General features: G+C 37.4%; 1 protein-coding gene across 7 annotated transcripts in view; it reads left to right on the forward strand.

Moving 5' to 3' along the window:
- FHIP1A (FHF complex subunit HOOK interacting protein 1A) overlaps positions 1–15,602 on the forward strand; it is a 261,328-nt gene that overhangs the window by 6,285 nt on the left and 239,441 nt on the right. For 3 of the 7 annotated variants that reach the window (XM_024454201.2, XM_047416127.1, XM_011532221.3), the window contains exon 2: positions 264–341. The exons of the other annotated variants lie outside the window; for them this stretch is intronic. The gene's annotated coding sequence lies outside the window, so the exon portion shown is untranslated. The remainder of the gene's footprint in view (positions 1–263; positions 342–15,602) is intronic. 7 annotated transcript variants of the gene reach the window in all.

A 15,602-nucleotide genomic window follows, 5' to 3' on the forward strand; every position in this document is an offset into this window, starting at 1 on the left:
AGCCACCATGCCTGGCCCTATAACATGGTTTATTTAAACAGCCTTTTGTTGGGAATTTGGATTGTTTTCCATTTTTCTATATTAAGAACAGTGCTTCAGAGAACATCCTTGAAAGTGTTATCATTGTACACTTGTGTTTTCTGTAGGAAAGGTTTGTGAGTCACTGTTATGAAAATGTTAAATTTCTTTTATTTACATTTCCTCTAGTAGTGTCCCTTCATTTTTAGTTATATGAACATATTCTTTCTTTCTGAATGCACAAGACTGAAGACAGAAATTATTAATAGATGACCAGCCACTGAAATAAGAGGTCATAACAGCAAAAGGTGCTGAGCTTTTAGGTAAGGTTCACCTCATTTCCTCACATTTCAGGTTCTTTTTGGTTTTAATGTTTTCCCCAAGAGAAGATAGTAATTGGTAACAGCTATAAAAATACTCTGCAGCTGTTGGTTGAGCTGCTAATTAGCTTTTATGGAGCATAGTGTTTTTTTTTTTTTAACATTTTCCTAAGAACATTATTTTAGGACATGCCATTAAGGAGTTCAGAAAATCCACTAGGTTTTGCAGAATGCAGAGTGTATTTTAGCTCTTCTCCTTAAATTGTTAAAGTTTACCTCTGTTGAAATATTAGTCATGGGTCCATTTTAGGATCTTTTGGCTTGTAGAAAGTTCTAGGAACTGATTTCCCTCTGTGTGTGGAAAATGTGAAATAAGATACTTTGGCTAAATTTCATGACTCAGGCTCATTGAGGTGGGAACATTTCAGGAATTCCTGTGGCAAAGTTTTTACTGAATGTCTAAAAGAGTTGATTAATATTTTTATTTAGTCCAAGCTTTTTTTCATAACCATTTCATTAGAGGAGTGTGTCTTATTCCTCAAAATGAATATCTTCTATTTTGTTTGTGTTCATGGAACTTTTATTTGGATTCCATTCATTTTAGGTTGATTTTCTTTATAATATACTAGAATGAGTATAGAAAAATATGTTTACAAATGTAATTTCTATACACACATACATACCCCCTATATTTATATATGCACATATGTATTGTACACATTTGTGTATTTATGCCTAAGTATATAGTGATATAAGGAATGTTTTAAAAGTATGATCTTCTTCAGGTCATTTAATAGAAAACTTTGTACATCCTCAAAATAAGGATGATGTCTCCATATTTATTTATTAGAAAAAATGTTTCTTGATTTTCTTGGTATAAAAATTTTTCTTAATAAAATAAGAATTTCTTAGGACACGGGAAACTTATAGTTTGTATATATTCATATTTTGATCTTTTCTGTGGGAAAATACAACATGTCTAATGTATTATCCTTTTTTTTTTGAAGCAGGGTCTCACTCTGTCATCCAGGCTGGAGTGCACTAGTGCAATTTGGGCTCATTGCAGCCTCAGCTTCCTAGGCTCAAGCGAATCTCCCACCTCAGTCTCCTGAGTATCTGGGACTACAGGTGCATGCCACCATGCCTGGCTAATTTTTGTATTTTTTTGTAGAGACAAGGTTTTGGCATGTTGCTCAGGCTGGTCTTAAACTCCCCGGCCCAAGAGATTCCCCTGTCTTGGCCTCCCAAAGTGCTAGTGTTACCAGTGGAGGGTGTGCAGGTTCTTGGTGCTTTGAACAAAGAATTGGACTAAATGCACAAACAAAGCAAGGAAAGAATGAAGCAACAAAGGCAGAGATTTATTGAAAGCGAAAGCACACTTCACAGGGTGGGAGCAGGCCCGAGCAAGCAGCTCATGGGCCTGGTTTCAGAATTTTCTGGGGTTTCAATGCCCTCTAGAGGCTTCCCATTGGTTACTTGATATACACCCTATGTAAATGAAGTAGTGGCCCAAGATCTGTCTGATTGGTTGCAGAAAGCGACCAAGCACCAAGCAGAGGCTAAAGTGAAGTTACAGAGTTACACCCTATGCAAACATCTGATTGGTTGTGGAAAGTGACCAATCAGAGGCTGAAGTGAAGTTACAAAATTATATTTCTATGCAAAGGAAGACTTGGCTTGTGACCAGCCTGATTGGTTTTGGGAGGGGACCAATCCGAGGTACTTTCAGATTTTTATCTGTCATGCGGAACAAGGAGATGGGGGTTGCAAAGGGAATAGCCTCTGGTCCTTTTGTTACTTGGGTGTGGAAAGTTGGGGTTTTCCTTTTGATTTAGTTCTAGGAAGTCAGCATGAATCAGCCTTAGGTTCCCTGCCTCCAGACCCTGTTCTTCTGCCTCAGTAGGATTACAGGTGTGAACCACCACACCTGACCATGTATTAGTCTTGATTATTGCTTATTCTCTAACACTAAGTCACTATTTGATAAGTTGAATTTTTAAATCTCTCTAATTTGTGTATACTACAAAACATTTGTACTTTTGGCTTATTTTAAGCAAGATGTTGTAGTTTAACTGCTTGTAAAAAATCTGCCAGGCCCAATGGCTCATGCCTGTAATCCTGGGCATTTTGGCAGGCAGAGGTAGGAAGATTGCTTGAGGCCAGAAGTTTGACACCAGCCTGGGAGACATAGTGAGACCCGTCTTAACAGCAATAACAACAAAAAATTAGGCGGTATGGTGTCTCACCCCAGGAGTCCCAGCTACTTGGGAGGCTGAGGCAGGAGGATCACTTCAGCTCAGGAGTTTGAGGCTGCAGTGACACAGGATGATGTCACTGCATTCCAGCCTTGGTGACAGAGTAGGAACCTATCTCTAAAAAAAAAAAAAAAAAAAAAAACAAGAGAAACTCTGACAACATGAATTCATTGACTTTGATCTGTTTCAGGAAACACCAACTGACTTGATATTTACCTACTGATTAAACTTAATGGTTAATGTTAATTTCTTATCAGCTTGATTAAGTTTGACCTCTGAATTTTCTCCTTATACTTCTTCACAGTGTTTAGGACCTTGCATGTCCTATTTGAAAAGTACACCCTGGAGTTGCTATAGATAGTAAGAACCAGCTTGCAACAATTGGAGAGTGTTTTTTTTGTCCTTAAAGTAATTCTGCCTCTTGATTATGTCTTAGGATTGGTTTCACAGAGAAGTGGTCATTCCTTCACAGTGAATCACAAAATGAGTAGTTTTGACAGGATTTCCTGACTCAGTCTGGCTAACTCAACCTGCTGTTCTGAGTTTCTGTCAATATTGGCATGCCAGGAGCAAACTCTTGACTTGGTTGTCTTGGGTATACAGATAATTCCTAAATCCATACCCTCATTGCTGACCTTTGGACCATAGGCTTGTTTCTAACCAGTTCCTGCTGGATAGGTCTATGTTTAGATCCTGACATCAAAGTAAACCATAAGGAGTTGAGAGTAACTCTGCATCTTAATTGCCTACCAGAGCACCTTATATTGAATAGAATCCTATAAATGTTTGTTGTTAATGATCTGCCTCTTATTATTATATGGCCAATTATAATATTTTTCATTTTGTTTCTCTTTCCAGTTTTTCTTGCTCTAATCTATTTTCATTCCATAGTCAATTGATTTTCCAAACTATAGCTGTGCTCATGTCACCTATCATGGTCTCTGTTGCCTACTGGGTAATGACTCAACTCAAGGCGTGATGGTTAATTAATTTTATGTATCAACTTGCCTGGGCCACAGGGTGTCCAGGTATTTAGTTAAACATTCTGGGTATGTCTGTGAGAGGATTTCTGGATGAGATTAACATTAGAATTGGTAAACTCAGTAAAGCAGACTGCCCTCCCCAGTGTGGATGGGTCTTATTCAGTCTATTGAAGGCTTCAGTAGTACAAAAAGACTGAGTAAGGGAGAATTCACTCTCCTCTCTCTCTCTCTGTTTGACTGTTTTCAACCTGGGACATTGGTCTTCTCCTGCCTTCAGATTCAGACTCAAACTATAACTTATGTTATTGTCTCTCTTGGGTCTCCAGCTTGCTGACTGCAGATCTTGAGACTTCTTGGCCTCTATAATTGCGTAAGCCACTTCCTTATAATAAGTCTCTTTATAAACACACACATACATCTCCTACTGGTTCTGTTTCTCTGGAGAACCATTGGCTGATTCTCAGGGCATTTATGATCTGGTGCTCTGTGCAAATCCTTTGCTTTGACTGCCATGCTGGTCTGTTCCTCATTCTTTTTTTTTTTTTTTTTTTTTTTTTTTTTTTTTTATTATACTCTAAGTTTTAGGGTACATGTGCACATTGTGCAGGCTAGTTACATATGTATACATGTGCCATGCTGGTGCGCTGCACCCACTAATGTGTCATCTAGCATTAGGTATATCTCCCAATGCTATCCCTCCCCCCTCCCCCGACCCCACCACAGTCCCCAGAGTGTGATATTCCCCTTCCTGTGTCCATGTGATCTCATTGTTCAATTCCCACCTATGAGTGAGAATATGCGGTGTTTGGTTTTTTGTTCTTGCGATAGTTTACTGAGAATGATGGTTTCCAATTTCATCCATGTCCCTACAAAGGATATGAACTCATCATTTTTTATGGCTGCATAGTATTCCATGGTGTATATGTGCCACATTTTCTTAATCCAGTCTATCATTGTTGGACATTTGGGTTGGTTCCAAGTCTTTGCTATTGTGAATAGTGCCGCAATAAACATACGTGTGCATGTGTCTTTATAGCAGCATGATTTATAGTCCTTTGGGTATATACCCAGTAATGGGATGGCTGGGTCAAATGGTATTTCTAGTTCTAGATCCCTGAGGAATCGCCACACTGACTTCCACAATGGTTGAACTAGTTTACAGTCCCACCAACAGTGTAAAAGTGTTCCTATTTCTCCGCATCCTCTCCAGCACCTGTTGTTTCCTGACTTTTTAATGATTGCCATTCTAACTGGTGTGAGATGATATCTCATAGTGGTTTTGATTTGCATTTCTCTGATGGCCAGTGATGATGAGCATTTCTTCATGTGTTTTTTGGCTGCATAAATGTCTTCTTTTGAGAAGTGTCTGTTCCTCATTCTTGAACACACCCTACCTCTTCCTTTTTCCCCATCTTTGTTGAGACCAGTCCTTCCTCTTTCCAGTTATTTTAGTGATGTGCATTCTTCCAAGCCTAGTTCAGAGCTGTGTCCTCCATAAAATCTTTCTTGGCTGTCTTTTCCTGTAGTAGTTTCCTGGCACCTGAATCTCCATACTGAAATTTTAGGAATTTAGTCATTTGCTGCCATCCAGTGTTATCTTTTATACATTTGTCCTTCTTCCCAATTAGATTATAAACTCCTTTAGGACTGGAGCCTAACTCTGTATTTCCACATCCCTCCACTGTTCCTAGTGTTGCTTTTCTTTTGCTTAGTAGGTTGCCAGTGAGTGATTACTGATATTTTTAAAGCACTAAGATCAACCTAGGGAAGGAAAGGCAAATGAGGGGCTTGCATGCCTGCAGTGCCCCATCTTGAGCCCATGGCAGAAATGTCTAATTAATTCCCCACAGGACCCAGAGCTCTCTCAATGCAGTGCTCCGGAGAGGCCTTGCCAGTTGTTTGAGGTTGTTACTAGAAATGAAACTTTTATATCATCCTTAACCTAGAGCCAACTTTTCTAAGAAAAAAAATTGAGTCGCATTTAAAGTCCTCTTGAATTTGCCCTTTCCTAAGGGACTGATTTGCAACGATTTTTGCTGTCATCTGTTTTGCTTTGTCCCTTGTAGTTCCCTTTGTTCTGCCTCTGGCTAAGTCATTTTATATCTTTTTATATATTCTGTATAGCACATTTGGGTCAATAATTTTGAACAATGGTGAAGGAGATCAATATGGAAAATGAGCTGTGTGTTCCCAGGAAATTTGGATTTGTCAAATTTTACACAAATTTCATATAAGCACAGTGTGACTCTTCTTATTTTTCCTGCAATTGAATGTAATTTTTGAGGGACACCATTTGAAATCTGACCTCATTCTCCTCTTTGGCTAGTCTTCTAAGCTCAAAGTATTGCAAATCCTCTGTAGTTTTCATCCCCCTTACTCTGCTCTCCTGCACTTGTCTTTTAACATATTTTAGTTTACTTATGTCTTTTTAAAATTTAAAAAAATTTTTTCAGTGGTTCCCTGGTTGGTTAGTGTCTTTTGTTTATTAACTCTTTCCCCACATAAGAATGTAAAGCTTTGTGATATTTGGTAGTCTTGGCTATATATCCCAATACATAGACCAGTGCATGACATTCAATAAATATTTGTTGAATTGAGTTGGGGTTTGCTAACCTGGAACCCTTCCCTCCCCCGAATCTCTTTGTTAATTGAGGCTTCCTGTTGCATCCTCTGGGACCTCTCTTACTTTTTTCTTCTTGTTGCTGAAGACCCCTGTTTCTAGACCTAGCTAGTTCCTTCAAGCCATACAACTATCGCCTTCCTAGGTCTGTGCCTTTGTAATAGCCACACCAATAACAGAAGTGGCAGTTTCCTTGGCAGTTCATGGTTTGCAAAGCACTTTCACATATATGATCTAATTTGAGGTATTCTTGAGTCTTGACAGTGATGGTACTCTTTAGGGCTTGCCTTTTACCAAAGTATGCAAGTTAGCAAAATCTTGTTCTACTAGGGGATGCAACCATTTTTAATGATGTTCCAGGCCTATTTTTTCCTTGGCTGCACTGTTGTCAAATTATATATGAGGGGTATGCTGCTTTGACAAAGTCTTCTGGCCCACTAGGAACATTCATTAGAGTCCTCGAAGAGTACCTGTATGGTAATAAGATCCTCAAGTAAAGTGACAAAAATGGGAAAGAAAAAAAAAGAAGCAGTTGACCATTAACAAATATTTATGAGACATTAAAAAAATATATATATATATTAACTCTTTCCCCACATAAGAATGTAAAGCTTTGTGATATTTGATAATCTTGGCTATATATCCCAATACATAGACCAGTGCATGACATTCAATAAATATTTGTTGAATTGAGTTTGGGTTTGCCTCCTTTGAAAAAAAAAAATATATATATGCATTTTTTTAATGAGAGAGAGAGTCTTGCTCCATTGTCCAGGCTGGAGTGCAGTGGTGCAGTCTCAGCCCACTGCAACCTCCGTCTCCTGGGTTCACAGGATTCTTGTGCCTCAGCCTCCTTAGTAGCTGGGACTACAGGCACAAGCCACCACGTCCAGCTAATTTTAATATTTCTTTTTAGTAGAGACGGGGTTTTGCCATGTTGGCCAGGCTGGTCTCAAACTCCTGGCCTCAAGTGATTCGCCTGCCTCAGCCTCCCAAAGTGTTGGGATTACAGGTGTGAGCCACCGCGCCTGGCCAGAGACACTTTTCAGTGGAGGTACTTCACTAGATCCTGAAAAACTGGTTGCCCCAAAGTTAATTTGATAGCAGGAGCTCCATGTAGACCTGCCCAGCTGGAATTGGAGATACAAGCGTGGAATTGAGAAGGCTGGAATTGAGAAGGCTGATCTGAATGATGCTGATTGTGTAGAGATCAGAGCTGGTGACTTTTAGGTTCTCTGCCAGTGAATCGCCATCACTGTCTTTCTAGCCCCTCTCTTTCTAAGCTATTAATATGAAGAGGGAATCATTTTCTTCCTAAAGGCCTTCTGTTCTGCTTTCTAGCCGTGAGAGTGATCAATAACTATTAGTGTCTAATGATGACACAGGAATATTCCTCTGAGCAATTGGAGAGCTGTAGGCTTGTCACCCATTGACAGGTGTTCACAAATCTCTTTTTGCTGTTTTGAAATATCACTGCCAGGGGAGTTGTATACAACTTGTTCTGACAGAGTAGTCTTAAATATTCATTCCTTTTACCCGTTGCTTTAAGAGAAATGCCAGCATTTAGTCTTCAGGCTGCCAGTAGTAATTTTGGAGAAATTGTATTATAACTTTATCAAGATGCTGATTTTCATATAGCTAATTTATTTATATATTAATATATTAATTTTACTATTTTTAATTATGGAAGAACACACACTTTGAGGTTAGTGGAAATTTAGGGGTTACATGGAGGTCTTTGATCAATTATGCTCTCAAATTAAATTAGCAAGTGTTTAACATTGTGTGAGGCTGTATGTGCCTAGTGGAAAGAGAATGCAATTTGGGTGCAAATATGTTTCAAATCTCTGATCTACCAATTGGTAAATATGTGACCTTGCACAAGTTACTTTTCTTTGATTAACCTTAGCTTCCTTATCTATAAATAGAGATAATAATGCCCATACAGGGAGTTTCTATGAGGGTTAAATAAGATAACACATGCAAGGTACTTAACATGGAATTAATAATCAATACATGGTAATTGCTACCTATGCACTGAAGCTGTATTAGCACTCTTCTAGGGACTGTGGGGGAGGTTCAAAAGGTGTGCAACATGTATGTCTGCAAAGCCACAAAAGGTAGTGACAAATGAGTACCTGACACACAGAAAATCAGGACAGTATATAATAAAGTGTTAATTGTACAGAAAGGAAGTTTGAGAAACTGGAAAGGTAGAAGTCACTGTGGTCAAACTCTTCAAGAACCATTATGGGGGTTGTATTACAATTCCTTTGGTCACAAATTATATAAATCTAAACCATATAGAAGGGGGATTTATTGGCTTACATGGCTAAAGTGTGGGAGAAGTGAGGTAGTTCTCAGGGAAGCCAGAACGGGGAACTCCACACCACCTACACTTTCTGTCTTATATCTCTGTGCCTCTTTTTTTGTGTCAGTTTTCTCCACATTTTGGGGTGTGGCTGCAGCAAGCCAGAGATCACCCAGAAAGAATGTCTGACCTTCTTCCCTTCATTTAAATTTTCAAAATCCCCGGAATGGTTCTGGTTGGCCTAACTTGTGAGATGTCCCCATCCTTTTGGCCAGGGACACAGATTACCAGGTAACTGGCAGCCCCATCTAGAATTACATCGTTGGTCTGGGAAAGATGAACATTTTCTTTTAAAAAGGATTCTACCATTCTTAGAAAAAAGGAGGAGTGCTGGATGGCAAGAGCAGGAGGTGGTGTTTACTCCCGAGGGGAGAAGAGGAGGGCTTGAGCTGGCTGTAGGGAGAAAGGCAGGACCTTAGAGCAGTGAACCAAAGGCATGGAATCTAGAATGAGAATATGGTTTGTGTTAGTGAAGTAGGATAAGGTAGACTCAGAGTGGATGGTTTGAAGTAGTTGGTTTAGGAGTTTGGACCCATCTGATAGGGCATAAACCCTAAGGACTACATCAGATTGACATAGTCATATTGGATCTTTTAAAAATAGGTTTCATGTTATATGCCAAGTATTTAAATCAGTAACTTGAGAACCAACTTGAGTACAGTTGAGAAGTTATACTCATTGATTATAGACAAGGTGATCTTTGTAGTCAAGAGGCAGATACCCATCCTGGTACTATCTTAAAAACTAGATGCTATCAAGCATTTGTCTTATCTTTCCTGTAAAAAAAAAAAAAAAAGTTGTATTTCAGAATAACCAAATAGATGATTCAGATAAAATCTTGCTTTTAGAAAAATTCCAGTTAATAAACGCAAAATGAGTGATACAAATAAAATACTACCATTTTGTTACCTCCAATGAAATAATAGATTTAGAGAATGGACATCAGTAGCTGCTAAAATTATTAAGTTAAAGGTTGATGGGGAACTTTATAGCTGATGGATTGGACTAATAACCCCTGAACCTACTGGTCAATCTTACCATTACAAAAGAGAAAGAGATAGATGTTACATGCCTCTTAATTGGATACAATAGGTTCTGTATAGGAAATACACAGAACCATCTGTGAAGTTTCTTGCCAGAAAGCTGAACATGATTCTGATCAATCCTTTAGATCTCACTACTCGTTTATAAGAAGCACAGGAAAAGGAGGACTATGTCAAACCATACCATAAAGATGTAGCCAAATTCAGAGTGTAGGAATTTCTACAGGACAGATTACTCAGTTTTTTCAATAAATAAATGACAAGAAAAACAAAGAGGGAAGAGGAACTATTATTAACAGACTTAAGAGACATATTAACCATGTTTGGATCTTGACTTAGATAAATCATCAACCCTAAAGTTATATATTATAAATATAAAATCATGAATAATATGAGAAATTTAAACTCTGGATGGTAGATAAATTAAGGGACTATTTTTTGTTAAGGAAATAATAATGGTATTATTTTAAAAAGAGTTCTTATTTCTTAAAGATTCACATAGACTTTTTTTAGATTATATGATACTGTATTAGTTTCTTACAGCTGCTATCACACAAATTATGTGGATTAGAAAAATAGTAATTTATTCTGTCATAGTTTTGGAGGCCGGAAGTCTAAAATCAAGGTATAGGCAGACCCCATTTTCTCCAAAGACTCTAGGGGAGAATCCTTGCCTTTTCCAACTTCTGGTGGTTGTCCTTGGCTTGTGGCTGCATCTCTCTGCTCTGTCTTTGCATCATTCTCCTCTACATGTGTCCCTGTCTAATTTCTTTCTGCCTTGCTCTTATAAGGATACATGTGTGCTCGCTTCAGCAACACATATACTAAAATTGGAGGGACATGTTATTGCATTTAGGGCCTGCCTGGATAATCCAAGATAAACTCTTCCCTGGAATCCTTAATTTAGTCACATCTTTTGCCATTCAAGGTAATAGTCACAGGTTCTGGGGATTAGGAAGTGAATATCTCTTTGGGACGTAATTTTTCTGCCTATCTTTAATATGATACATGAGATTTGCTTTTAAAAAAACAAGCGGGGCGGAGAGAGGAAATGGAAGATTATAGTTGGCTGAATCAAAATTGGCAATCCATTCATTGTTAACTCTGAGCTGGGTGATGATAGTTCATTGTATGGGTCTCTCTACTTTGTATATGTTTGAAAATTTCCATAATAAAAAACAACAAAAAAGGTTAGCTCTCACACCAAGATTCTTTAGTAATCATTTCCTCTCAGAACCTAGAAAATACCATATTAACATTGATAAATGCAACGCTTAATTTTTTTTTCTGTTCATAAAAATTAGGTATGAGACTGCAGATATCCTGGCTAATCCTTTCATTTCTTACCACCATTTCAGACATATTTCTTTGTGCTTCTCAAGAAAAGTGAAGGGTGAATGAAAATCTCTTCACTTGAAGTTCAGAAATTATAAAATGACCTGAGGTTTAAATAGGATAATCAATTTTTCTTCTTACTGAACTATTGGTGAATGAATGAAGTGGTGTGGTTGTATTTGAAGACTCATTGGCAAAGTAACTTATCATAATATCTTGCCAGGCAGATGAAATCAAGAAAGGGCCAACAGTTTTATTATAGGGAGGTCCCCATCTTTCAGCTGTTGTAATGTAATCATAAAATGTCCTAATGAGCTGCAACTTGGCATACAGAGAGCACTTCCTGGCATAGGCTGGTGGTAATATTTTCCTGTGAATTTTGTTTAGGTAGCCTTACGGTGTTATAAGGCTTAAGATTTTAATTCCTAAACCTAAATTATTGTATTTTTCTTTAAAAACCAAAAATAATGAGAGTTTTTGTGATTTCCCCTCCTCACTCCTGTGCTAGAAAGGTTTCAAGGTACATTTAAAATATAATCACAGAAAGCAGAGCACAGCATTTTTTTTAAAGAGCTATTGTGTTATATCAGAAGTGTAATATTTCCTAAAACACACATGCCCAATTCATGCTTCAGCATATGTGTTATAAATGATGGTGACTATCCAGATCCTGTTATAGGCTATTCAAGTTACTTCACCTAAACTTTAGTACCTTAATGATTTTTTTTTAAGGAAAGAAAACAATTCATATGCAGGATCTCTGTTTAAATAATGCTTAGGTTGTGACTTAGATCACCAAAAGCAACATGTTTAAAAGTGCACTTACTTAGCCTTTAGAAGTCAGTTTATTGACTTATTATGGTTTTATATTTTTTCATCAGTGATTTTTATATTGAGTTTGTTTCTTTCCAAATCAAAAGCTTCATTTTGTAGGAGTGATATAAACTGTAGTTGCAAAAGCTTAAAATTAGACTGTCTTTTTTTAGCTCATGGAATTAGAATTTAGATAGGACATTTGTTGTTGATATATGAGACTAGTAAAACCCAGCTCCTTCTTTATGTTTGCGCTGAGCTGTGGTACAAATTGTTCTCTATAAGTCAGACACAAAAACATGTGGGCAAGTCAGTATAAAATTAGACTTTTTGTGGTATATGTGTTCATACAATCTGTAAGGATGACTACATTTTGTACTTTAAAATTTTAATTTTAATTTGAATTTTTTTTGCCCTCTCAACCCCATTTTCCTAATTCTGAGAAGGACCAGGAAGAGAACATTTTGAACTTCTTATTACATTGTCATGACATTGTAACCCAGACTTATGGGTAAGCTATATTTTCTGGAGGATGTCAACTACAGAGAGCATATCATGGTAATACAGATATAAAATGACTTTTCCATGTGAGTAAAATCATTGGCGATGTGAGTAAAATCATTGGCGAAGGAATAGATCTAAATCATTGCAAGCCTCTTGGGCATTCCAGTTGCTTACTAAATGGTTTATTATGAAACTCGATGGTGATTATTAAATTTCTGAGCCATGCCATCCTTTTAGAGTTATAAAATCACCCAATTTATGTACCCTATAATAAAGGAGAAATGATGTATGGAAATAATCAAGATAGTGGTTTGTATTTCACTTGATATAGTATCATGGTAATCTGTTTTGCATTTTATAGTATATGCTTTTGTGCAAAGAAGTAATGTTTATTCAGGAATATTTCTGAAGGTATATGTTGTTTTATTGCCCAGGTATAACACAATTTTTCAGGAACACACATTTTTACATAAAATGAGATACATCTTGAGTTTCATTTTTCTCTTTGCTGCTTTTTCATTTTTGTCAAAAATATGCTTTAGAAATACCATAAATATGATGCGGAAGGCTGATTGAAAAAGAACCCTAACATTTGTATGATGGTTTTCAGTTTGCAAATAATTAAGGAACTCTTTGGCAAAACCAAAGCATTATCTCTAAGTAAATAATGAAACTGATTTTATATCCTTAATATTGCTCAAATTCATTCATTTCTCTCCATCTTTACTAATACTACCTTCTCTTCTGTGTTACTACATTCGTCTCTTAACTGGTCTTCCTGCTTCTCCCCAGGCCACTCTCTTCTACCTCACCCTTAGTAATATTTAAACAATGTAGATTTCATCATGTCATTCTCCCTCCAGCACCCTCCTTCCCATTTTAAAATCCTTTTGGGGCTTTTTTGTTTAATCACTGTAAGGGTAAATAAAGATCCTTAATACGTGCAAGGCTCCCCAACTGTCTTTCCAGTCTCATCTCATGATACTCTCTCACTAACTCTCAATACTTGAGGACCACTGTCGTTCTTTCATTTCTTTTAATGTGTTTTTCTCTTTTAAAAAGTTGCAGAGCCTTTGCACACACTGTTGACCATACTTGGAACACCATTCCTCCCCCTCCCACATCATCTTTATACATCTCCACCTCAGCCACCTTGGCTTAGTTAACTCCTATTTATCTTTAGCTCAGGCTCCATTTCCTTAGGGAAGTCTTTACCCTAGTTGGGTCTCACTATTATAGGCATTTACATCACTATGTATCTTTTTTTCCCATTGGACTTACTGGTTATAATTTATATGCTTACATAAATTGTTTTCCCACCTGGCTGTACACTTCATGAAGGCAGGCAGTTCGCCTGTTTTGTTTTGTTCATAGTGTTTGGGTCTCACTATTATAGGCATTTACATCACTATGTATCTTTTTTTCCCATTAGACTTACTGGTTATAATTTATATGCTTACATAAATTGTTTTCCCACCTGGCTGTACACTTCATGAAGGCAGGCAGTTCGCCTGTTTTTGTTCACCATTGTTTCCCCAACACTTAGCTCAGTACCTAGTACAGATTAGGTACACCATAAATATTTGTTGAATGAATGAATAACATGAAAGAATGGAATTAGATATGGCCATCATCTAGTTAATTAAGCGCACACACAATACCAATACCAAAGACATTGTAAAAAGTGAAACGTGCCCTTCAAAGAAATCATCTAGGGAGGTTACCTCCTTATTTCATAGCTGCTGTTGTTAGAAAGGAATTTTGGAGCAACTCTAAAGAATTGTCTTTAGAAGTAGTTTACAAGCCACATAAAGGATGAAAGCACTTATCCTTTTGATTAAAAATAATATCCACGGTGGCTCATGCCTGTAATCCTGACACTTTGGGAGGCCAAGGTGGGTGGATCACTTGGGGCCAGGAGTTGGAGACCAGCCTGGCCAATATGGCGAAACTGTGTCTCTACTAAAAATACAAAAATTAGCCAGGTGTAGTGGCATGTGCCTGTGGTCCCAGCAGTTCAGGAGTCTGAGGCATGAGAATTGCTTGAATACGGGAGGCGGAGGTTGCAATGAGCCGAGATCGCACCACTGCACTCCAGCCTGGGCGACAGAGTGAGACTCTATCTCAAAAAAAAAAAAAAAAAAAAAAATCAGTTTGATGATTCTCTTCATTTTCTAAATGTACTTTCCAGCTTACAGATACCAAATTCCACTTTCAAATAACCAAATTTGCCACAGTTGAAAATTTCAAAGGAATGTTATATGCATGAAGGCAGTCCTAAAAGAATTGTTCCTAAAATGTTTAGAGCATTGGTGGGCATTTTTATAATAAGAAGTGTGTTGTCTTTGAAGAGGCTAATGCTCCTCTGGATGTGTGGGTTTTGCTGTTTCTGTTAAAATCTTTCACAAAGCCTCTCTTCATGAAGTAAGGATGTTTCAGTTTTGCTTCTGGTTATGAGGTGGAGGGATGTGTTTTACCTTCTTAAGTCATTCACTTCATCTTTGTGCTTTTCATCCTCCATGGTCGAAATAAATCTTGCAGAATTTGTTTTTTACTAGAAAGGAATGTAACAGGGAGTTGAGTTAACACTTATAAAGTGCCTTACATTCCCAGGTGTTGAGTTCTATGCTTAAGAACAGTCCCTGTTAGTGTGAAAGATCACAGAACTGGGACCACATTCTTTCATTGAAAAGCATCAGGGATTCTTGCCAAGTTCTACTATTCAAGATTATTTATTCAATATTTTCATTGACTTAGCTGCCAGCACTTATCCTTTTTTGTACTAGGTACTGCCCTTTTACTTTCTGATTTTGGAAGAAATTTACTGTGTGTTATACCTTTCTCCAATAGCTTAAATTGGCATTGATTTTAAGTAGGAGTAATTGAGTCTAAAATAACACATATATGTCTTTGCCTTTTAATCTGTGGGAACACTTTTGGATATACTGAACTGATAACAGCAGCTATTGAAGATTACCTTCCAGCAGGATATTTGTCACAGCTCCATTCAGCTGACCCTCAGGACTATACTTTTCACTTGCTTACCTTTGAGAAAATGCACTCAAATCAACATGATACGATGCTTTCAGTATAGTAGACGGCTCTGTAAGCCTAACATTTTGGTAGGAAGCCTTAGTTTACACGGGCAGTAACAAAAGTTCTATTGACCTTTTATTCTAGTATTCTTGTTTGCACCTGAGCAACAGAGGTTTAGCTTTCATTTGCTTTTTGTTTTGTTGACTACTTGCCAGTAAAAGCTTACATTTTCATACTGCTTCAGTGCTGACTATATTTACTTATGCAAATACATTTTTTTGTGCCTAGCAATAATAAGATTTGT

This window comes from Homo sapiens, chromosome 4 (genome assembly GCF_000001405.40).
Source record: "Homo sapiens chromosome 4, GRCh38.p14 Primary Assembly".
Lineage (NCBI taxonomy): Eukaryota > Metazoa > Chordata > Mammalia > Primates > Hominidae > Homo > Homo sapiens.